The following is a 26872-nucleotide window of genomic DNA, read 5'->3' on the forward strand; positions in this document are numbered from 1 at the left end:
CCCTCAAGTGATCAGCCCGCTTCATCCTCCCAAAGTTCTGGGATTACAGGCATGAGCCACCACGCCCGGCCCATTGTTTCATTTCTGAGATCATGTCTTAAGTGGCCTTAAATGCTTTCACACTGTTTTGAAACCCTCTTCAGCTTCCATGTGAAAAATCTTAAACTAGTCTATTGGAGAATGGGAGACCACAGAAGGAAGAGACAAGCACTCCTATCTGAAGCCATTCTAATAGTAGCCAGCTACGTTAGATTGAGCGGCTGATTGCAGATACATGAAAGAGCCCAGCCAAGACAAAAAAGAACCGCACAGCTGAACCCCTCCCAGATTGCCACCTTGCAGAATGATGACCTAAATCAGGGATTGGCAGACTTTTTCTGCAAAGGTCAAGACAGAAGGCTTTATGGGCTAAGAGGCTTAATTGAGAATATTATATAGGTGCTTATATAATGAGAAAAAAGTTAACAATTTTTATTGAAATTAAAAGTATAATGGATTACAATTTTTAATATAGATCTAATGAAAAGAGGAGAATTCTCTTTGGGGTAATAGCATCTGCTTGTTATTTAAAGCTAGTTATACCTATCATGAAAATTGGTCACAAATGTTTGTTAGTTGGTTGTTAATGCTGATCTGTAATGAGAGATTCTACATATTTAATCTTTAAAATGTCTTTTCACACAGACAAGTATGCTAAATATTTATAGTAATAAATGAATATATAATTTTGATTGAGTACAGTCATCACTTGGGAGGCATTTATAGAATTCTAGGTTCTCTTAATATTTTCCTTTTAGCATGTCATTGCAGTGCAGATTAATTACTTCCAGTTGAAAGTTAGATGAAAGTTTCTCAAATGCATAAGTGGATTTGGAAATACAGAAGCTTCCTTTGCACTTGCATCCATGTCTGGAACTTCTGGAACTGTAGTTTGAGTTCATAAATTTGTGTGGAATAGAAGTCTTACTTTTTTTTTAAGCTGTTGTTGCACAGGAAGTGTATAAAGGAGCTAGACTTTGTGATTCAAACAATGTTGATTATAGTTCAAATGACTACCCCATAGTATAAGTCTTGCTGCAGATAAGTGCTATTGTGCATTGTAATTTTTAATTTAATTTATTAAGAAACATTATCTAGCTTGAAACAAAAGCTAATGTCTTAAGCTATTCATTGTTTGGTAATTATGATTGAGTGGTTCTTCTTATTCAGAAAAACTTTCAGTCAAAGCCCTGAGCTCAAAAACAATCACAGCAACTCTTTACTACTGCTAAGCCATTGGACTGCTGTATAGGATGGCAAGTCAGGATATTGAGCTTCAGTTTCAGACAGAAATTAATAGAACTGACAATGGCCTAGTCAGCACAAACAAAAGAAGTTCACTCTTAGCAGTATTCATTCAGTAATACATGGTGAATTCAGATATTTTCTTCAAAACACTTCCTGATGAGTAACTATGAGTTTTAAATAATTTACTTTTTCACAAATTTTAGATATTTGTTCAAGTAAGCCTTCTTTCATTCCACACATATTTTTACTATTGTCAATTGTTAACACATCTTAGCAGATTCCAAGCCAGGTTGTACTGAATTAGTGTTTCTCACCTTTTTTGAAAAGTTTCCTACCTATAGTTGTTCCATGCAGACTATTCATAGAGCCTAAGTTTGAATAACTTCAAACTTGGCATTGATTCCTGAAATAAATAATTCAACAAATCATCTGACTCATGAAGAGCCAAGAAAACTACTCAAAAATCATTTACTTTGTTTTTTAATTTACTATTGATTTTGCAACCGATGCCGTCAATCTCATCAAGCCCCTGTTCTCACAAAAAGCTATTCCAAACAAGCTCCTTTCTTCCCCCTCAGGAGAACATTTACCTGGCTGCTTTAATTAAGCACAACTTTTAAAACTCACCATTGGTAAATGGCATTTCTGACTTGACTAACAAATGATCCACTCGGAAATTTAATTTTAGTTGTAGTGTGCATGTGTGTTTGTGTGTGTGTGTGTGTGTGTGCACGTGTGTAAGAAATCTGTTGTCTTGAAGGATTTTAAATTTTGTAATTTTTCGATGATTGCTCTCCTGTTGAGAATATTGTGATGAGTGCTTACTCTGGTAATATTCACATTTATTATTTCTTTTAGCACAGTTACAGTCTCATTGCATAATAAACACTTTTTTGACATCTAATCCATTATCAAAATATCACACTCCACTCTGCCTTAAAAGTGCAACAAAGTCGTTTTTTCTTGTTTTGGCATGATAGACATGCAGTGAAGTTAAAAATGATAATAATGTTACATTATGACAACATTCATGGCACTCAAATGCCGCCAAATTATTACTGCATCACTATAGTTTGTAATGCACCAAACAGCACTATGATGGGATGAGAATCATGTCATAAAATATTCTCTTTTTTTCAACATTAAAAAATGTAAAAAGTATTCTAATCTAGTGGATTGTACCAAAACAGGCAATGGACCGGATTTGGCTCATTGGTAGTAGATTGCTGATCCCAGGTCTACATAAATGGTTGTATTTTAAGCCACTAAAGATTAATGTTGTTGTTACACAGCAAAAAGTAATATATTTACTATAGATTTACTCAAATCCATAATCTATCTAAAGAGGGAAGATAGGGGGACTAAAAATATCTATGTGTTAGATTTTGCAGTGTTTCTAAGAAATAAGGCAAATTCTTCATTCTCCACACTGAAAACTCAAAAAGTAATGCCTGAAATTGTAAAATTGCAATAAGAATGTTGGAGATATTGAGAGAACATGAAAAAGAAAAAAAAAAGAGCAAATGTAAAAGAACAGAAATTATAACAAACTGTCTCTCAGACGACAGTGCAATCAAGCTAGAACTCAGAATTAAGAAACTCACTCAAAACTGCTCACCTACATGGAAACTGAACAACCTGCTCCTGAAGGACTACTGGGTACATAATGAAATGAAGGTTTCTTTTGGGAAGTGGGAAACTGGTAAGGATGGAATTCATAGGAATGGTTACACAGGGACGTCACCATTATTGATAATATTCTACTTCTTAAACTGAGGGGCAAATGGTGTGCTGTGCATGGTATTTTATTTATCTTATTTTGTGTGTTAAAATTTTTCTTTACATATATTAACATAAACAAATTTTAAGGAATTAGAGAGTTAAAATTTTATTCAAGAGAATACAAGTATTGACTCATTTTTATCTGACTTGGAAGTCAACTCTAACTTACTGCCTTCCTTCATTTTTTTAAGGCTTATTATCACTTTGAGAAAAGCATGCTGCTAATCATGTGAAAACATTTGCAGGGATAGAATGTAGGATACATGAACTCACACTGAGGGAGAAGGAAATATTTTAATCCCTTCATAAGTAGCTGTTAGAGTATTCATGAAAATATTTTGGTAGCCTTTCTTACAGTGATTTATATTATGCTTTTAAGCTACATGGTACTGTATATCTATTAAAATTTTTAGAGGATTAAGACTGTGAGATTTATTGATAGAGTTTACAGAAGGGCTTGTAGCTCCTTCCTAGTAAATTAACTTTGGCCTTGATTGAGAACAATACAGAACAACTTTAAAATTACGTGTGTTGCAGGAAAAAAGTTCATTGTATACCATCATGTAATACCACATTTTGGCCCCCATTTTCCCTCTGTCTTGAGTGCTCTTGCCCTCTCTCCCCCTCTTTTATCATGTAATGTATTCTACCATGTTATGATGCAGTAAGAAAGCTCTTACCAGATGTGGCCCCAGTAAGAAAGCTCTTACCAGATGTGGCCCTTGGTCTTCGACTTCTCAGGCTCCAGAACCATGAGGCAAACCATGAATCAATTTTCTATATAAATTACCCAGTCTGTGATATGTTACAGCAGCAGAAAATGGACTAAGATATCTATTTAGTAATACCTATGAATGGAGACATTATGGTTACTAGAAAATTACATTTCTGATTATACAGGCTTGTTTCATTTTGGGGGTTGCTTGTTACAGACACTAAAATGTCACTCATTTTCCTAGTATTTTGGTTAAAAAAACTGCATCCAATACAAGGAGTATAGTTCATTACCCCCAAATCACTCTACCCATACTACTGAATATTAGTTTTTCTTAGTAAGAATGGAATTTTGGACAATCTAAAAGACTTTCTCGTAACTTTAAATGAAACTGTTCTAAATATACATTCTTCTCAGCACCACACTGCACTTACTCCAAAATTGACCACATAGTTGGAAGTAAAGCACTCCTCGGCAAATGCAAAAGAACAGAAATAACAACAAACTGTCTCTCAGACCACAGTGCAATCAAACTAGAACTCAGGATTAAGAAACTCATTCAAAACCGGTCAACTGCATGGAAACTGAACAACCTGCTCCTGAATGAATACTGGGTAATGAAATGAAGGCACAAATAAAGATGTTCTTTGAAACCAGCGAGAACAAAGGCACAACATTCCAGAATCTCTGGGACACATTTAAAGCATTGTGTAGAGGGATATTTATAGCACTAAATGCCCACAAGAGAAAGCAGGGAAGATCTAAAATTGACACCCTAACATCACAATTAAAAGAACTAGAGAAGCAAGAGCAAACACATTCATAAGCTAGCAGAAGGCAAGAAATAACTAAGATCAGAGCAAAACTGAAGGAGATAGAAACACAAAAAACCCTTCAAAAAATCAATGCATCCAGGAGCTTGTTTTTTGAAAAGATCAACAAAATTAATAGACCACTAGCAAGACTAATAAAGAAGAAAAGAGAGAATAATCAAATAGATGCAATAAAAAATGATAAAGGGGATACCACCACCGATCCCACAGAAATACAAACTACCATCAGAGGATACTATAAACACCTCTATGCAAATAAACTAGAAAATCTAGAAGAAATGGATAAATTCCTGGACACATACACCCTCACAAGACTAAACCAGGAAGAAGTTGAATCTCTGAGTAGACCAATAACAGGCTCTGAAATTGAGGCAATAATAATTAATAGCTTACCAACCAAAAGAAGTCCAGGACCAGACAGATTCACAGTCGAATTCTACCAGAGGTACAAGGAGGAGCTGGTACCATTCCTTCTGAAACTATCCAAATCAATAGAAAAAGGGAATCCTGCCTAACTCATTTTATGAGGCCAGCATCATCCTCATTCCAAAGCCTGGCAGAGACACAACAAAAAAAGGAATTTTAGACCAATATCCCTGATGAACATGGATGCAAAAGTCCTCAATAAAATACTGGCAAACCGAATCCAGCAGCATATCAAAAAGCTTATCCACCATGATCAAGTGGGCTTGAACCCTGGGATGCAAGGCTGGTTCAACATATGCAAATCAATAAACGTAATCCAGCATATAAACAGATCCAAAGACAAAACCACATGATTATCTTGATAGATGCAGAAAAGGCCTTTGACAAAATTCAACAACCCTTCATGCTAAAAACTCTCAATAAATTAGGTATTGATGGGACATATCTCAAAATAAGAGCTATTTATGACAAACCCACAGCCAATATCATACGGAATGGGCAAAAACTGGAAGCATTCCATTTGAAAACTGGCACAAGACAGGGATGCCCTCTCTCACCACTTCTATTGAACATAGTGTTGGAAGTTCTGGCCGGGGCAATCAGGCAGGAGAAAGAAAGGGTATTCAATCAGGAAAAGAGGAAGTCAAATTATCCCTGTTTGCAGATGACATGATTGTATATCTAAAAAACCGCATCGTCTTAGCCCCAAATCTCCTTAAGCTGATAAGCAACTTCAGCAAAGTCTCAGGATACAAAATCAATGTGCAAAAATCACAAGCACTCTTATACACCAATAACAGACAAACAGAGAGCCAAATCATGAGTGAACTCCCATTCACAATTGCTTCAAAGAGAATAAAATACCTAGGAATCCAACTTACAAGGGATGTGAAGGACCTCTTCAAGGAGAACTACAAACCACTGCTCAACGAAATAAAAGGATACAAACAAATGGAACAACATTCCATGCTCATGGATAGGAATAATCAATATCGTGAAAATGGCCATACTGCCCAAGGTAATTTATAGATTCAATGCCATCTCCATCAAGCTATCAATGACTTTCTTCACAGAATTGGAAGGAACTACTTTAAAGTTCATATGGAACCAAAAAAGAGCCCGCATTGCCAAGTCAATCCTAAGCCAAAAGAGCAAAGCTGGAGGCATCACACTACCTGACTTCAAGCTATACTCCAAGGCTGCAATAACCAAAACAGCATGGTACTGTTACCAAAACAGAGATATAGACCAATGGAACAGAACGGAGCCCTCAGAAATAATGCCGCATATCTACAACCATCTGATCTTTGACAAACCTGACAAAGACAAGAAATGGGGAAAGGATTCCCAGTTTAACAAGTGGTGCTGGGAAAACTGGCTAGCCATATGTAGAAAGCTGAAACTGGATCCCTTCCTTACACCTTATACAAAAATTAATTCAAGGTGGATTAAAGACTTAAATGTTAGACCTAAAACCATAAAAACCCTAGAAGAAAACCTAGGCAATACCATTCAGGACATAGGCATGGGCAAGGACTTCATATTTAAAACACCGAAAGCAATGGCAACAAAAGCCAAAATTGACAGATGGGATCTAATTAAACTAAAGAGCTTCTGCACAGCAAAAGAAACTACCATCAGAGTGAACAGGCAACCTACAGAATGGGAGGAAATTTTTGCAATCTATTCATCTGACAAAGGGCTAATATCCAGAATCTACAAAGAACTTCAACAAATTTACAAGAGAAAATCAAACAACCCCATCAAAAAGTGGGCAAAGTATATGAAGAGACAGTTCTCAAAATAAGGCATTTATGCAGCCAACAGACGCATGAAAAAATGCTCATCATCACTGGCCATTAGAGAAATGCCAATCAAAACCACAATGAGATACCATCTCACACCATTTAGAATGACATTCATTAAAATATCGGGAAACAACAGGTGCTGGAGAGGATGTGGAGAAATAGGAACACTTTTACACTGTTGGTGGGACTGTAAATTAGTTCAACCATCGTGGAAGACAGTATGGCGATTCCTCGAGGATCTAGAACTAGAAATAGCATTTGACCCAGCCATCCCATTACTGGGTATATACCTAAAGGATTGTAAATCATGCTGCTATAAAGACACATGCACATGTATGTTTTTGGTGGCACTATTCACAATAGCAAAGACTTGGAACCAACCCAAATGTCCATCAATGATAGACACGATTAAGAAAATGTGACACATGTACACCATGGAATACTATGCAGCCATAAAAAAGGAAGAGTTCATGTCCTTTGTAGGGACATGGATGAAGCTGGTAACCATCATTCTGAGCAAACTATCACAAGGACAGAAAACCAAACACCTGCATGTTCTCACTCATAGGTAGGAATTGAACAATGAGAACATTTGGACACATGATGGGGATCATCACACACTGGGGCCTGTTGTGGGGTAGGGGGAAGGGGGAAGGATAGCATTAGGAGATATACCTAATGTAAATGACGAGTTAATGGGTGCAGCACACCAACATGGCACATGTATACATATGTAACAAACCTGCACGTTGTGCACCTGTACCCTAGAACTTAAAGTATAATAAAAATATATAAAAAAAATAAATGAAACTGTTCTGTTTGTATGTTGGGATTACAAACACAGATACAAATTTCTGGCATATATACCCTAGATCAGAGTTGTTGGCTGTGGACATAGGATCATACTATGTGAGTAATACTTTGCCCATATAGGAAGGAAATGAAAATGTGTCTATCCTTTTCTTTGTTTAGACCAATGTTTAAGAGTTAGCAACTTTTGAAGATGTTGTGCTAATGAGCTAGCCTATTTACTTTTGATATATCATATGGGGTGAGGCAAGGATGACTATGTATGAGATTAATAAAGACTGTGTTTGTTGACTCATGTAAAGACTATATAAATGGCAAGAAGAGCAACCAATCTCCATGCTATTATTGGTAGCTCTTTACATCTTGGGTTGCTGACATCGGCCTTAAGCCTTCAGGGTCCCCACTACCTGGTCCCAGCCTTTCTTTCTTTCCACTTTTCCCAAGAGAGCCTTCATCTGTAGCCAGAAGCCTGAAACATATACTCAGGTTCTATTTTTGCGCTCTTATACCCAATGTCATATAAACTATTATTCCTAAATAACATTCAACATGAGCTACTTACACAGATCCCTCAGTCTTCATCTTCTTTCCACACATGAAACACCTATTAAACCTCAAGTCAGAGCTCACCTATTTTTTTAAGGTTTTCTCTGACCATTGTAGACATTGTGATATCTCCTTCCTTATAACTCAAACTAGTATTACCACCACTCATTAACCACAACGTCCTTTAAGATCTCTTTTAGTGTATGGTTATTTCAGTTTCTGTGCATTTATATTTTATTTTCACAAATAAATTAGAAACTCATCAAGAGATAGACAAATATAGCTTTCAGTATTTGGGACTATTTTTTACACAAAGTAGGTATTTAGGACATATTTGACAAATGAATGTATGAACAGAGTTTGCTACCAACCACAAACTAGAACCCAGCATAACATGTGTATCTCATCTTTGCACCTCTAGTTTATCACTCATTTTCTAAGGTGCATTTCTACAACCACATGTAACTTTTAGAGTAATACATAATTAGATAATATGCATGTATTTTGTGTAGAAACAAAAAATAAGTAAAACACACAATTTCCCCAGAAAATTAAACAACCACATAGTACTATGGTTTACAACCCACAGACCAGAATTCAGTTAGTTGGTGATACTTGTTTTCTGTAAATAACTGAGCTATGTTTACAGTCCTTAACAAAATTGCCCTGATAAAGGGCAGACAACCACAGGCATTTCACTTGTTCATGATCCTGTGATTACTGAAATGTATAGTAGATTTAATGGATGCTAAAGCATAACTATACTTTTAAGCAATAGAGAGAAATTATAACATCTTATGTAAAATATCATATAAGTTTTTAGCCCTGAATGACATTCAACATGACCTATTTAATCATAACAGTATAAAAACTGATTCCAGTCATTTATTTTTAAAAAATAGTGTATGGAACTTTCTCCACATTTGAACACTAGTTAGATAATCATTTGGATAGGATGTTTCTGCATATATTTTTAGATAAAAACATTCCAATATGACTGATGTATTTTCACAAATACAGCATAACATATGTGCAATTGAGTACCTTTCATTCCAAACTATTCACCTTAGGATAGTGTTTCTCAACTGGAAGCCATCTAGTGGGTAGATACTCGGTATGCTGCTTACACACAGGATGCTCCCTTACAGCAAAGGATTGTCAGTAGTTCCAAGGTTGAGAAACCCTTCCTTAAAGAATATACCATGTTCAGTGGTGGTGTGATCACCAAAATATTTTGGAAAATACTTTTCAGAATTTCCTGTTTGAATGTACTTATTGGTGGCAACTCTTCATTCCTTGCAAGCTATGTTTTATTTTAGATTAATTCTCATGACTCCCAGGAATGATATATTTAATTTATGGAACCAACAAAACATGCAAGCAGATATTCACATACCACTTGCATACATGCAAACAAAATTTATTAATCAATTCTTACTAATTCAGAATTGGGCCTGATTAGAAAGTAGAAGGCTTAAACTTTACTTTTATATAACATTCAAAGGAATAATTTATACACGAGCAGTTTTTAAGGATGAGCTTCACAACCTTGACTGTCAGTTAACTCCCAACTGGGGAGGATAGAATCAAGTGAAATTTTGTACTGTAAATGGTCTTTTGCCAGCTCAAAAACAAGGAATGGTAGAGCCTCAAAAATTTCAACTGAGAAGGTATTAATAATATAAACACTCAGCTCCCTCAAAAGTGTTAACTGAATAACTTTCACTAACTCTTCATGTTTTTTTGGTTATAGCCCATTTATTTAAATTGATGCTTTTGCTTTTAGTTAATATGTTTCTTATGACAGTTTTTTATCTGCAGTTGTAAAATTTCAAAAGCCCTGAAAACTAAGGATTTTTGTAACTCACCTGTTAGCAAAACCTGACTTGAACTAATGTGAAGCTATTTATACTTTTAATTGACTCATATAATGTGAATATTCATATTCTTCACTACAGAAGTATTAACATGTTATATTTCAGAGAGCTTAGTATGTATGTAATATTTTTACCTTTCTAAATTTGAATAACTTCAAATTCTAAATTTGCAAGTGTGAAGTCTATAAGAATTATAAAAGCAGATGCTGAATAGTTTTATTCTTATGTTTTTCTTTTATAAATTGCTGTAGTTTTTCAACTTTAATCTTTTGAAATAATTATGGAAACAACTTTGTACTCTATCAATGGAACCAACATTTAATGTACTCAGTGATTGAAAATAAAATAGTAAAATTTTTCAAAGACTTTCAGAATTTTCAGTTAATTTTATAAGGAAGGGAATAAAAAATAAGTATACCAATATTAAAGTGATAGATGATATGATCAAGCAAATGACAAGAGAAAATGTGTATTGCCAATATTTTTCTAAATTAAATGCTCAACATCACTTGGTAATCTTTTAAGAGTACAGGGTAAAATGAGATGTCATTCTCCCCAAGTAAGCAAAGATTCTAAAAACCGATGAAAATAAATGTTATCAAGGATGCAAGAAACTAGCCATTCCTATGGGCTTCTTATAAGAAGAAATTTGTACAAAATGTCAAAAGATACATTGAGTTTAAATCCTTTGGCCAAAAATGATTCCACTTTTTGAATTGGTCCAAAGTAAATATCTGCAATGTAGCACAAAGATACATATGTGGATGTTTGTCACTGCTGTATTTTATTTAAAGTGACCAAAATACCCATGATTAAAAATTGGTAAAATAAATTATTATGCAACCCTATAATATAATGGAAATCATATTATAGAAGAATATGTAATGTCTCCAGAAAATGTCCAAGATATAAGTAAAAAATGCTAGAGTTTAGAAAATAGTATGTACAGTTTATCCCATCTTCTGTATATCCAAGTATATATATGTGTGTCTTTCTTTGTGTTTGTATTTTTCCACGTTTCCATTTTTTACAGTAAATAGATTTGAAATAGAGAATCCTTTATATTATTGTATATTTTCTGAGTTACATATAAATATCTAAAATTAATTGGGGAAAACTAAGCAAAGTCATACATACAGTCCACAAAGTGAAGAACCTCCAAGAATCAAAACTGAAGCAAATATTCTGAGAAACTCAAGCCATTTTCCAATTGATTGCCTTGATGTCCAATAAAAAAGGGTGGTACCTATAGATGGGAATGAAAAGATTTTGCTTCGTGGCATTCATTCCATTTCATGATACACTATTGTAGCAGAAAATATCATGACTTCCTGAGAAGTGTAGTTTTACAGAATTTTAGTTTGCTTTCTGTATTTGCAATTCTGAAATCTCTTAGCTACCTGATTACTATTTCAATAAACGGAGAGTACCATTTCCCTCCCTAGATCTCTCATTTCAAATACTAGCACACTGGGTGGAATTTTTACCTCTTACTTATGGTGTCCAGCTCACAACATCTTAATCTGGCAAGAGGACCAAACTAGCTGTAAATCTTACCACTCAGACCACACTTGATTATTGTGTGATGGCAAAATTAAACGTGAATAAAACAGGTAGAGCATTAGAGTGTTCTTGGAAGAATAAACACAAGTTGGAAGTCTTATGTGGATAGTGCAAAATACAGGAAGGCAATGAATCATGTAAACATCAAATGAAAGGTTGGTAGGGAAGCCATTGGAATCTGTCAGGCACTCCCTGCAATAAATGGCATATTCCGTTCCTTTCCTTTCATTCAGTTTAGGAAAGGGAGTTCTGTGAACTCTCTAACAGATCGCAAAAGATTCTGTAAGTTCTTATTCCTGTGTAAAGGTACACTTTGAATAGAATGAGCTGAAACCCGCTGAAGAGGATGTTTAGTTTATATGAAATGGACACAGATATGTCATAGTGCTCACCTCCCTGACTGTTTTGCCTTCTCCCACAAACAGGAAACTGTTAAGGCAGCAATAATAGAAGAGCAGAAACGAAGTGAAAAGGCTGTGGAAGAGGCAGTGAAAAGAACAAGAGATGAATTGATAGAGTATATAAAAGAACAGAAAAGGGTAAGTATCTCCTGAAGAGTTTTAATTTGTGCTTCAATAAACTGAATCAGTGACTTCCATACAATAACATGAAATTGTAAAATATTTAAAATGTCCTGTGTCATCTAACTTACGGATCTTCATCTAAGGATATTTTCTGATATAATTATGTATTCTGATAGTTATGTCTATAAACATAAATCCCATCTGTCAGCAAAAACAACAGTGAATAATTTGTTGGTAGACTCCTAGAAATAACCTATATCATTTCCAATTTAGCTTTACTTACAAAGATAATAGACAGTTCTACATTTTTAGTCTTTTGCCATACATTTGTTAATTTCTTATAATATTCATAGACATGTGTATGCATCATTTAAGCTTTCTGACTGTATTAACACCACTGTAGTTCTAATGGACATAATTACAGTTAGCAAATTCAGGCTCTTCTGCCATAGTGCCATTTCAAAACCATAACTCAGAATATGCTTGTAAGAATTTAGGATGCATATTAAAGCTTTGAAAAAAATAGCATTTTCATACAATGTGGTTTTATTAATGTTAGTCTGAAGAGTAGCTGAAACTAATGGATCTAACTTGATTTGTTGTCGTTTCAATAAATCTTCAGTCCTCTAAGCAATACACAAAATAAGAAACTCTTTAAGATTAGATGTTTACTGTAATCTTCTCTGTAATAAATATATATAATAAAATATATAATAAAATTTTTCACATGCAGTGTTTTAGGATGTTTATATGTTTAGTATATGTTACATATTATATAAATATATTTATTTGTGCAAATATATAATATATTGCAAACATATATTGCATTACATAATGTAACAAAACACACATAAACAGTGTGTATGAGGAAATTTGACACAATAGCTAAACTTAATTGGTGGTCAAAATGGCAAAATAAATAGAAAATATACGATAAGATATTATCCTGCAGTTGGCAGTTCAAGAAGTGCACTAAAAGCTCATGACACTACTTTAGTCCTATACTTTTTTTTTTTGTTTTTTTTTGAGACAGAGGCTTGCTCTGTTGCCCAGGCTGGAGTGCAGTGGCGCGATCTCCGCTCACTGTAACCTCTGCCTCCCGGATTCAAGCAATTCTTCTGCCCCAGCCTCCTGAGTAGCTGAAATTACAGGCGCCTGCCACCATGCCCAGCTAATTTTTTTATTTTTTATTTTTAGTAGAGATGGGGTTTCACCATGTTGTCCAGGCTGGTCTTGAACTCCTGACCTCAAGTGATCCACCCACCTCAGCCTCCCAAAGTGCCAGGAATACAGGCATGAGCCACCGTGCCCAGCCATCCAGTGCTGTTAACTTGAAGTCAAATTTGGTATGATACAAAGAAAATCCCCATCTCTTGATGGCTACAGTTAGGTTTCAACAGAGGAGAATTTGTCACCAGAGTAAAAACTTCCTAAGTAGTCTTTCCAGATAAATTAACCACTCACAGAAACATTTTATATTGGATTAAATCTTTGTACAGTTTACCTCAGAGTGTTTTTAAAAGCATTTTCACTCAAACAAATTCCTGATAGATGCCTAACCTTCTAAGGGGAAAATTCTGGGCCAAAGAGTCAATTGGCTTTTCAAAGGAGTATTATGTTCTCAGAAAACTCCTATTTCCATATGTACCTACAAAGAGTTTATTTTAAATAATCTTGTTCAAAAGTAATCATGCAGCAAAGGAATTATAGGTACATTTTATATGCATACAGGGATTGCAATTGTGAAAGAACTTAAGTATCAAATAAATTCAAAGACTTCTTGTGGGTATTTGCTTTTTTATCATCTCTTTTTAAAATTGTTTATTTTATGTTAGTAAGAACACTTAACATGAGTTCTTCCTCTTAAAATTTTAAGTCTATAATACTTTATCATTGACTATAGATGTAGAATGTTGTACAGCAGAGCTTTAGAACGTATTCATCTTGCTTGACCGAAACTTTATGCCATTGTTTGGGTATTTCCTGTTTCTCTCTAACCCAATCCCCTGGTATCCACCAGTCCACTCTGATTCTATGAATGTGACTAGTTTAGATACTCTGTATAAGTGAAACCATGCAGTATGTGTCTTTCTGTGACTGGCTTATTTCACTTAGCGTAATGCCCTCAAGGATCATCCATGCTGTTCTGTATTGCAGAATTTCCTTCATTTTTAAAGCTGAATGGTATTTTGTTGTACATATATACCACATTTTTTATCCATTCCTCTGTCAATGGATATTTAGTTATTTCCACATTTTTAGTGTCTAGTCTTAATAGTATATGGCCAATCTTTATTTGAGCTCTGAATCTGAATGAGAAATTATATAACAAAGCAAACTCATTCATAAGATTATTTTAGACTAACATTTCTTTGGTTGAGATGGATGATTTTTCTTAAAAGAATTTTAAAGATAATGTTACTTTTTTTGTCAAAGGGAGTTATGTGGCTACCATAAGAAGTGCCTATAATAAGAATAAGAAATGCCTTTTTAAGAGATATCTGTTCCCCACATGAAGCAAATTAACTTTGAAAAGAGCTGACAATGAACTCTGGCATTTAGTCTGTGTGTTCTTGCAAATCATACTAAAGGCCTAGTATTCACTTGTATTAGTCAGTAAATCAGTTACCACATGTAGAGACATTATTAAAATAACAGCCAAGAAACCGTGACATTAGCTTTCATTTGCACTGAAGTTCTACTTCTCTTTGCTTGTTTCCTTATATATTAAGGAGAATAAATCTAATACCTACCTTGCAGAGTTGTTATGAATTAATACATGTAATAAAATAGCAGCTACAGTAAGGACTCAATAAATATGTGTTATGCTTATCATCTTTACCACATTATTTACAGAAAGTAGAAATAACTAGCAGCATTATTGTTGCTAATTAAAAAATGTGCTCTTTAGAATAGTGTTTGGTGTTCTATTTCCTCTGAATTTAAAGTGTGAATTCTAAAATTTTATTTCTCTTCTGTTACTAATTCACAGAAGATTAAAACTGATTTAATCAGTACACTTGTAGGAAATTTATTACTTCCACTTTGGGATTTTAAACTTTTATTAATAATACATGCTGTGGCATATTTTTAATATTTGAATGTTTGTATCTTTCCAAACAGAAAAGCTATAAAAAAGTAAATAAATGATCTGAAATGGAACTAATTACTAATTACTAGACCTCTTTATTATGTAAATTTTAAAAAATTGAGATTCTCTATATTCTTATTTTCCAAAAATGTATTTCAGTATTTTGAGTTAATTTTTATGAATATCTTGGGGTTTGGAAAATTTTCATACACAAAAAAGATATCTCAGAGCTTATAAACTAATACTTAGGAAAAACAAAAGTTTTTTAGCAAATTCATAATCTTCTTGTCTGTTTCCAAAAGACTGAATTAGGGCAACTCACATCTACTTCTTCCTTTGGAAGATGGATTTCTATTTACATCAGAGAACACATTTCCAGAATAAAAATTTTCCTTTCCCTTCTCCAGGTTTTTTTTTTTAAACTAAAGAGTCAACTTGAGATTTTCAACATTAGACAACTTAAAAGCCCGATAGACCTTGTTTCCAACTGAGCTTGAATTTCAGTTTGTGAAGTAATCTTCTGTTCTTGAAGTTTTTGAAAATCTTTGAAGGAAGAAGTCTACTTGTATTAGGTCCTACCTTTTTTGTCCTTTGTCCTAGTAGTCTTTCATTAGACATCATCATACTTTTACCAAATTCATTAAAAGTTTGAAATGAATACTTTTCCCCTACATCTTTTTTTTAGTCTTTTGCTTTTAAAAGACAGAAAAACACAGAATTAAAAATTCAAAATGCTTAATTTTTGAAATACCTTATGGATTATCTAACAATATAAAACACAATGGATTTACAAATTGCTATATGAGGTTACATAGCTCTTTCTGTGTATCTGAAATTAAGTACTTAATCAGTTATCCATTCCTGTTAAGTAGTAAAATTATACTCAGAATTATACTAGAATTAAAGTTAGAATTCTGAGAAAATTTTAATTTTAAATGCTATTTACCAATTTTTATGTGTGAAATCAATAGAGATGTCACTAAACTTTAAAAATACCTAGTATTCGTCTGGTCTAAACATCTTAGGACAAAGGGGCTACCTGTACATGTACTAATTAAGTAAATTATAATTTACATTCAAATTACATCCTAAATTATTTACTAAGTCAGATACATAGTACTTGTAATATTAGTCCGAGTCATAATCATAACCAAAAATTACTATGTAATGAAAATATCCAAATAAGGAGAGCTTTTAAAATGATCAACCAGAAAGATAATTTAAATCAATGATGAATTAGTTTTAGTAATAAAAATGCCTTTTTATAAGAATTCTACCTCATAATCTTTTTAGAAATTTCTCTGTAAAATCTATCATGCTAATCCTGAGGAAAAAAAAGGATCCTTACATTGAATTTACAACTTTACTGTGGAATCAAAAAGGTAATCTGTAGCCTTAACACTCATAAATTTTCCATTGAACTTGGCAGAAATTATCTAATTTTAATGGATTTAGACATTTCCAATATAACTTATATAATAGAGAAGAAAAGGCAAACAGGAAAACCTAAAAAGATTTAAAAATATATTTAATCTTTCTGTGGATCAGCAAGGTACCTGCAAGTACAGTGATTTGCATTGAAAGACCATATTGTATTTTATTAAAATGTAAATTTTGGTTTCAGACTCTCTTCAATCACTGTAAATTCTATAGCAGAAGTTGCAAACTGCAACTCATGGGTCAAATCCGGCCTGCTGCCTGCTTTTATAAATAAAGTTTAATTGAAACATACATTCACATCCATTCATTTTTGTATTGTCCACTAACTGGTGTCATGCTTCAATAGCAGAGTTGAGTAAAGAGAGACCATTGGGACATACAACCCAAAATATTTACTATCTGGTTCTTTAAAGAAGAATGTTTACCAACTCCTGTTCTAAATCATAAAAATTATCTTGCGGGGAAAGTTTCTTCTTTTCAGCCCTTTAAAATTTTTATTCGCTTCTTATGCCTCAGGGTAACTAGACAATTGAAGTCTCTTAGGTGCTATTCTGGAGAAGATTTCTCTCTATGTATTAATTGCCAGATAAGATATTATAATACATCATATCTGATCATTAGTGCCATAAATTTTATTTTATAAATGGAGATGGCAGAAAAATGAGATGGGAAAGAATACATCCCTGACACTTCCCTAGGGAGGAATAATTTGTGGTTTATAATGACCGACAGCCCTTGGATTAGAACGAAGAGTTCCAACCCATCCCACAAGTTAAGACTGTTACACATGAGTTTGCTATGAGGGAGGAAGTGTGAATAACATTCAGCAAGCAACAACTACTCACAGCCAAGCAGTGATTCCTAAAAAATAAAATCTCATCCAAATGTAATAAAATACTATTTTTCCTCTTAAGAAACAAAATTATTGCCTGTGTTTTCTAAATCACCTCCAGGAAAATAACCTTCACTTTAGAGTATCCTTTTAATTTAGGTTTTTAGAGAAGAGTAAGAAGCAATTTTCTTTACTTCAAAGGTTTTGTGGTCAAGGCATTGTCAGAATTTTTTAAATATAAAAGGGCTCTTTTAATCCAGTTTTGCTGCAATATTCTTGGATGTTTGCATCTCCAACTATTAAAAGATAATATTTAGACAAAATGAACTTTCCTTATGTTCTGACCAGTTACACAGTTACTTGAATAAACCATTATTTCAATATAAGTTATTTAATATTTCATGGTCCCTTACTTTTCTCTTCTTAGAAATATAGAAGTTTGACTAGCTGATCTCTAATGACTCTTAAAGTCCTAAAATTCTGTTAAGACTATGAGTAACATTTTCCTTGACAGTTGATAAACCCCTTGAGAGATTTTTAATTCTTGATATAAATCAGTTGCATCATAGTAGTTACATTGTATGGTATTTATAAATTAGTGTAGGAAAATGGCGCTTTCCTGACATTTCCCATCTTCCTGCCCCTTTCTCATCCTAATTACTCTTGCTTCTATCCAATCTGGAGGAGGCTGTGTAGTTGTATGTGCAAGAAGTAGCTCATTAACAATTCAGCATCTGTGGTCTAAAGCATCTGCCCTTGTAACTTTTGATTTGGGTCTCATATTTGAAAATGCTTTTATGTAACCAACACATATTAAAAAGCATACTATACCCTTACATTCATTATTGCCTGTTTTCGGTTGTACCTCATTTTTTGATGCCAAAGGGAATTTAGCCTTCTCTACATAAGCTATATTGTAATTTAAATCATCAGAAGTTTACCTTCCAAATTTGTATAATTATATCCATTTCAGGTGGCACAATAAACAAATGGAAAAATATTTGGATTTAGAAAAATAACCAGTACTAACCATCTTGCCAAATGATGTTTCAACTAGGTCACAAATTTATCCTTCTTCTTAAATTAAAAGCTTAGGAAATTTGATGTGAAAGAGAGGTTAGTGAAGGCAATGAAGTAAACAGATTTTAAAGGTTTTATAGTTGTTTAAGGTTAATATAATTATGATTTTAAAACTTATTCACTATTTCTCTATCTTAAACTCTTTGACAGTTTATTTCACAAATTATACTTTAAAATCAAATTTATTGCTATCTCCCACTTTATATTTTATCAGTCTTCTTGATGGTCTGTCTTGTTTTGCTCTTTTCACTTGCATAAGAATAATCTTGAAAAAACTTACTGACATGTGGACAATCACACACTTTGGTGAGATGACCCTATTTGTCATTTCCATTTCAACTGTGGTAATTGAGATGATGTTAAAGATAAAGCCCAATGCTTAGATTATATCCCATTATTCCTGTAGCAAGGAATATAAAATACGTTTTAACTTAAAATCAAAATGTAAATTTATGTATGTACACATAAAAACTAGTTTGGTGTAGCAGTTAATGCGGTATTTTTCATTGGTTTTTGGGTGGATTCTAATCGAAGTACAGTGAGCATAAAGACTTTGGAGGCATCTAGTATATGAAAATGTTTATCTCTTTTTATGTAATGATTCAAAATTGTTCATCTAAGTAATCACTTCTTGAATTACTATAATGACAACTAACTTTATTCTTTGGTAAAATGATTTAACTTTAAAAAACATATATTCACTGATGCAGGAGAATCACTTGAACCCAGGTAGATCAAAAAAGTTGTGCGAGACCAGAAGCACCATGTCTTTTAAAGCTTAAAGCCTTATTTTGGAAGGAAAGTATAAGAACATACTCCTTAACGAATTAAGTGAGGTCAAAATAATAGCTTCAAGCAATAATAGACACCATTGGCACATGACAGTGCTTGAATAAAGACCAAATGCATTATGGTGACAACAATTGACAACAGAATTCCAGAAGATCACTTAAGCCTATGATGATCAGGATGGACTTTTGGTTTCTGTCAAATGAAAACTAAAATGTGGACTAGGCTATATAATAAAAAGAGGAAAAAGAGTCTGCGAGAAGCCAAAGGATTTGGTTTCTTAAAAGAATAAGCAAATTTATATATAAAAATTTTTGTAAAGAAGTCTATTTTCTAGATTCTTGATATACCTTTTGGATGCAATTCTAGAATATCTTGGCTCATAAAGCTCAGATTATTGGGGGCAATAGACATGGAGGGAATTTTTTTGGCTTATTATATTGATATGCCCTTCAGCCATCCTTAGAAGTCAAAAATTTTGTGTGTGTGTGTGTGTGTGTGTGTGTGTGTGTGTGAAGGTGTAGGTGTATGTATGTGTGTATATATCAAAATGTGTGTGTGCGTGTATGAAGGTGTTGGGGTGTGTGTGTGTGTGTGTGTCTGTTTGAAGGACCTCTATTTGTGAGCCGTTTATTAAGGGACCACAATTGCCTTCACTGTTCTCACTCCAGCCCATGCTATTAAACTGTTTAGAAGGAAATGGAGAATGAAGTGGTATTACAAATTGCCAGCATCTTAATCTGTCTATATCTATATATTTACACAGCATGCATCTGTGTATACTTTTCACTATCCCATCTTAAACTGCATATGGAGAAGCTTCAGTATAAATGTTTTTTTTTCATTCTATAAAGAAATGTTATGAATACCCTTAATAGTTGGAGCACTGTGCTTAGGCTACAAGGACAAATAAAATAACCAATAAAGAGAGCCTTATCCTAGTATTCTTAATAATGATACATATTTGTTTAGCAACTGAAATTTATAAAGATTTTTTTATATGTTATTTGACTCTTATAATCTATAATCACTTGCATGTTTATTATTCTTTTGTAAACCAGAAAATCAGATGGTAGAAATTATGGTTCTGAGATTACATCTAATAATGGCATAGCTAAAATTTGATCCAGTGCTTTTTCTACTATATCACACCAGTGGCCCTTGTCAACTTCCTGTATACTAGCAATTTCACTTTACTATCTAGGATGAAGCCAATATCTGAAGAAAATTATTAAAGCCCGCAGTAGTTAGAACCAGTGAAGAGTTACAGCTGTAACATGAACAGCTAAGAGAACTAGAAGGGCAGGAGGTACTCAGTAATATACAAAAGGACTGGCCAAGAGAACAGCCCACATGTCACCACTATATTTTATTATATACTTTAACTATAAAACTATGTTGTTTTTGTTTCTTATTTAGGAAAAGATGATGATAGTTTCATGGAAATCATTGTTCAGAGTGAATTATTAAAGATATAACCTTGAAAAAGAGTTTCAAAGATGTGAACTTGTTCAACTAAGAAAAAGTTGCTTGCTGTAAAAATTCAGCAATATAGGCTCCCAGAAAACAGTACCACAGTTATCACCTCAAAACTAAATAAATACCTAGAAATACTCAACTTAAATGGAAATTTAAGTTGTTTAAGTAAAATGTTCTGTATTAGAAAAAATATATAAAAGAACCACCATTTATTGGGTCCCAAGTTTGTCCAACATACAATAATGGGTGCTTTATATTTACTGTCTCAATCCTCACAACAACCCTAAAATAATACCTCATTTTACAGATAAGGAAAATTGAGAGTCAGTGATATTAGATAACTACCCAAAATCAGTACGAGGGTCAAGATTTTAACTTGGTTCTGTTTGACTGCAAACTATATGGTGAGATTGTAGGATCTACCTTGGTAAATTTTTAAGACTGATTGAATAATTTACACATTATTTTTCATATAATATTCTAGGAATTATTACTTTTTCCACTAACAGGAATTAGTATACCTTTCTGTTTTTACAGGCTCCATCTAATTTGTGCCTTTTCAGTAAGACCCAGATAAATTGGGAAGAAAAGTAGAACTTTGGTCACATGTGTATATATGTACACTGAACACAAAAGCAGCTAAGAAAATGCTGTTTGTGGATTTTACCTTAGAGGGACAGAACTTACATGCATGGAATATGCCCCAACATGTAAGGATTTTCAAAAAGTGCTAAAACAAGAAAACTTAATAAACATACACTACCTGGCTGTCTAACATCAATATATTCCCATTGCCAATATTTAAACCTAACCTTCAAAATACATTCTTCTTCCATACTTACATATAGTAACAGTAATACAACTAAAATAATAATAAAATACTGAAGGTATCTCTTATAAAAACAAAAATGTGCTCACTCATTGTCTACAAAGAGGATGACCTGAAATATTCTGTGGCACCCAACCACAAGACAAGTATTGCTGAGAGCGTGATTGGTCTGATCATTCAACTTCTGCTGTCACAATCATCTTGAATCTCTGTCCATGTATATGAGAGTCATTTGATATGGCTTTCTACTTGAGCATGCCCAATTTAATAGGTTGGAGGATTAGCTAAAACAAGTTCATTTTAGGCAGATCAGGTCACATTTGTTTTTTCACAGCCAAATATACAATGTTGAATAACACTTAGCAATGAGCTCAGTGCTGCTTTTCAAAGGGATAAGATTTCCCTGCCTGATGACTTTGTTCCAAAACCTTAGAGATTTCTGCTGGGATTCCTCTATTAGAACTTTTCACAGGCTCCACATAGCATCTCAGTAAACTGCTAACGGTTCTAACACCCATTGAATCTATTGGTCGTTAATTAGGGCCAGGTAGATGTGCTATAGTATGGACTAACAAGGAAGCCTCCTTTTTTTCTGGGACCTACTCACAACTAGAGGCTTTCAGGTCACTTCGTAAATAGGTTAAAGCAGGATTCCCAAACTAATGTATAAATACCACAAAGAGTTCCACCTAGCAATGTGTCTCTTTCTTAGTAGCAGGAGGTACAAGGTGCATTAAGTTGCCTTTAACTTTGTAAAGCCTATCCTGGTATATGCAAGATCACTGGACCTCCAGAAATTTTACTGAGGTATAGTTCTTATATTTTCATGTGCTATATCTTACACCTTACTGGATTCATAGGTATACTTTCACTTATTACTTCCTGCTTTCTAGGTTCTGGACACATATGTCATCAATGTAGTTGTCATACGTGATGGTGAGACACTAATGATCTTTGTGAAATATATTGTAGTACAGAGCCAAATAATTTATATAACCCTAAGATGAAATGGTTTACTATTGTACCTGTCATATAAACACAGCTGTTATAGGTGTTCTCTGTGTATTGAGATACAGGGAAAAAGCATTTGCCAGATGAATAGTTGTATACCTGGTCCTAAGAGCTCTAGATGTACATTTTTAAATGCACATCTACAACAGCAGCTGCATTTGAAATCACTGTCTGATTAGGTCTCTTATAAATCACTTCCTCCAATGTCTACTGCATACTCTGGAGATAACTATATTATGTGTTTAAGGCCCAGTTGGGCTGGATATGAGACAGATTCAGATGGAAACTTCATTCACCATTTGATTCTGATAAGCATCCATTCTGACCAGTAGTACAACGTGGTCTTCTAGGTCTTCAGTTTTAGTGTTGGTTCAGAGTTACTATACAATGATACACAAAAGACCTGATATTTCCCTTTCTCCAGTATAGCTACCTTGATGAGGAAGGCCAAACTGAGGATTTACAGTCTCTATCTGTGATATTATTGCGATAGACGTTTTCAAGGATGGGCAATCTCCTCTTCACTCAAAAAACCGTGGGCATGTGAATTGACTCAGGACTGGACATTGGGGAAGACATTACAAATTTTTGTTGTAGTAACTCATGTCAGACCTTTGTTCATTAAGTCTGGATATTTTTATAATTTTAAGTTGGACTTTTTTGGATGCCTATCAGTTTTGTTCATATGATTCATCTGATCAAGTACCCAAAGCTGATGTCCCTGCAGGTCAGAGCATTCTGATTACAACTCAACCATGCTAGCAGTAACAGTAACCATTTCCTCCTGCTTCTTGTAATTAGGTGTATCTACTTGAGTTTTGCTACCTCAGCGTCCCATAACATTGGAAGCCACGTAGCCCACCAGCATTCGTAGCCTACAGAAGGCAGACACTGTTGTTCACAGACACTGACTTTTACCTTTCGAGGAGCAATGTTACAGAGCAATTGGTGGCCTTGATTATTGCTTGAATTGAGAATTTAGCATCGTGAGACTTTAATTATCTTTTTGAAGCTGTTGTGTGAAATTAGGATCAACTAATTTTGTTTTTGAATTCCTCATGCTCTTCATATTTTTCCATGTCCATAGCCCCTGGATCTGGTAATAGAAGTATCCAAATGTTGGGCCACTGAAAGTCTTGCCTTCAGTGGTCACTTTATTTCAAGTGGCTATAGTTAATAATTTGTTAGTTTGCTGCTGCACACTATGAACTACCAGATTTTACATTTTTTTAAAGAATACCAGCTGAATCTTTACAGCCATCGACCCTTACAGAACCAGGTAACTAAAATCTTTCCGATTTTCCTGAGGTTATATTGTCTTCAACCACTTCTAGAACCAATTTACATATCAACCAGGGTTCTTCTTTTAAATAACAGAAGCTGCTTTCATCTGACTAAGCAGCAGAGGAGTTTATTAAAACGATATTAGGTAAGCAGCCAAGTTGCTAGAGGGCTGGAAAACCAAGGTTAAGCTTCTATGAACAATAGCAAAAACTACACTGCAAAACTGGCTAAAGATAAACCACTCTTTGCTGCACATTCCCATCAAGCACTAGGATAAACTATTGCATAGTTCAATCATTTCCATCCCCCAAATTTGGATACTTCTATTATCATCGTCACGAGCAAAATAGATGCTATACAGAGACCTCTAATTCCTCACTTATGAATCAAAGTCTCGCACATTTGACTCTGGTTAGTGGAGCCATAGGAGCAGAGCAGGCTAGATAACTGAGTTTTCTTGGGTTTTATGCAGGGGAATCATACCTCATAAGGCTGGAAATTTTTTAAACATAGGGAGGATATCAAAAATCAGAAAACATTACAAATGGCCACTACATTCTTTAGTAAAGTCTCCCAAGTTGCTGTGGTTACTGAAGAAATATTTTTCCAGCTTTTTAGTCTTTTGGCTAATTCTAAAACTGATCCTTTGAAGTTAAACTAGGTGGGTTTCATTCTTTCTAGAACAGAACATTAGCAATTGCTAGGTTCATCATTTTGTAGAAAGTTTGCAGCTTGGCCACCATAATATTCTTTTTCAAGTAATCTGAGATTTTCTACAGTTAATGCCTAAGTTATACAACACTGTTCAAAGGATATGCAATACTTTGGATAGATTAGGTTCTGGGTTCTATGTAGTTGTACTAAAAATAGTTCTTAAGGTATATATATATATGTATATATGTAGATATAAGGTATATATACACACATATATAAGGTATATATATACATATATATATACATATATATATATATATATGTAGGATTTTTTGTAAATTTTAGTGATTAAACTTATCATTGTGTTAATCAACAGTGTTTCCCCCTGATTACTCAGGGATATTTCATATATGTTAGTTATAGTACTTTTTTCATAGAATGATGGCCACCAAGTTTACTAAAAAAAGAGCTTAAATTTCTTTCTACTAAATTCATCTAGATGAGATTTCCATTGTTTCTTGAGTCCTTGGCATCATCTGTTCTCTGTATTTATGTGTCCCTCTAATCAATTAATCTGTTTCTTCTCTCCTTCTCCCCATTTTCTTGCTATTGAACCTGTTATCCATGGCCTCTGCTATTTTTCAACTCTGATTGTAAGTATAAAACTGAAGAAAATAATGAGAAACTAGACAGCAGAGTACTGTATCAAATTAAGTCACACATGTTAAGCTTGAACAAGGAGAAATTTCCATCTTAACTTTGTAATAAGTATACAGGTTTTTTGGTATCTGTTTTCACAGGTTCTTATCACATCTTTGATGTTCTGGTTGTTAGAGAAGGTTGTGGCTCGGGACATTATACTACTAAATTGCAAAGTTAGATTCCACCAACCCATTTGAATCTTTTCCAGATGACTTTTTTTCCAATGTGGATGATTTTATGAACATCTGATTTGAAGTAAAATATTCCAGGATAAGCTGTATATCCAGCAGCGTACATTGAGATTGAGTCATAAAATAGTCCCACTATTCTTTTCACTATGGTTTTTTATTAATTTTTGCATGTATAATGTGATTAATACCTTGTACTAGGAGCATATTAATCATATCTTCTTTGCCATTTTACAAAAATTTAAATGTATACTTTTTATTCATCTGTGGGGATATATGACATTTAAAATAACTTTATGGCTTAGTATTTCCTTTGTAGTTTAGAGTACTTATTCGTTTAAGCTTTAGTGTGACTATAATGTATTCAACCCTTTGCTTTTGTCCTCAATATTTACTCCATTCCTGTGGTTCACATTTCCCTTTCCTTATGTATCATGTGTTGAAAATGAAAATATCTTGTCTGGGGTGGAGCTTAGCCATGGAACTAAACAAACATGCCCTCTCCTTCTGCTCTTAGTTGGTTTTACAGGTTAAGTTACTTAAGAATCCTGTTAAGAACAACAAGAACAACTTTACATATACCTTTCTGCATCATTATATAATCATAGTTAGTAAAAATCTCTTTCACTTCCTCCACCAGTGTACAATGTGATTCATTCACTCCTTTTATATTTATGACTCACACATCAGTAGAGAGGTTATTGAAAATAGCATACATATTCAAAAATGAAAGCCCTTGAATTTAGTGAAAGAAATTAAGCCACTTGAACAGAATTTCCAGTACTCAAAAGGAAACTGTGATGGGCACAGAAAACTGTGAACAAGGCATGTTCTTCTCATGTCAAGAGCAGAGTGCAAGAGAGAAAGCCCAAACAGGTAAACATTGCAAGCTTCTGATTATGCCTTATCTGCTGATATCTCCAAAGCAAGTTATATGGTCAAGTCCAAGGTCAAGAAGCAGGGACGTACATTCCATATACCATGAAGCCAAAGCATGTCACACAGTCAAACTCAACATCAATAGGTGAAAAAGCCTATTTCTCCCACAGAGGTGAGGAAAAAGAATGGCTAAATATTTGATCAATAATTATTTAATCTACCATACCACCCAGTATAAATTAGCTATCTTCTCTCCTACCAACCTTACTTTATAGTATCACTACTCTATTTTTTCTTCTTAGTGCATAAAACTCTTTGAAATTATGTTCATGTTTTTATCATTCACTATTCATTCAGTGAACAAATACCATCAAATACCTAATATATGCTAGGTAGCACTCTTAAGTGCTAGGGATATATCAGTAAATAAAACAGACAAAAAT

General features: G+C 33.9%; 1 protein-coding gene across 37 annotated transcripts in view; it reads left to right on the forward strand.

The window, feature by feature from the left end:
- CCDC91 (coiled-coil domain containing 91) overlaps positions 1-26872 on the forward strand; it is a 359711-nt gene that overhangs the window by 281524 nt on the left and 51315 nt on the right. For all 37 annotated transcript variants that reach the window (NM_001352086.2, NM_001352079.2, XM_047429083.1 and 34 more), the window contains one exon: positions 12073-12186. In NM_001352086.2, the coding sequence (NP_001339015.1) occupies positions 12073-12186 (114 nt within the window). The remainder of the gene's footprint in view (positions 1-12072; positions 12187-26872) is intronic.

Source organism: Homo sapiens, chromosome 12 (assembly GCF_000001405.40).
Source record: "Homo sapiens chromosome 12, GRCh38.p14 Primary Assembly".
NCBI classification, from domain to species: Eukaryota; Metazoa; Chordata; class Mammalia; order Primates; family Hominidae; genus Homo; species Homo sapiens.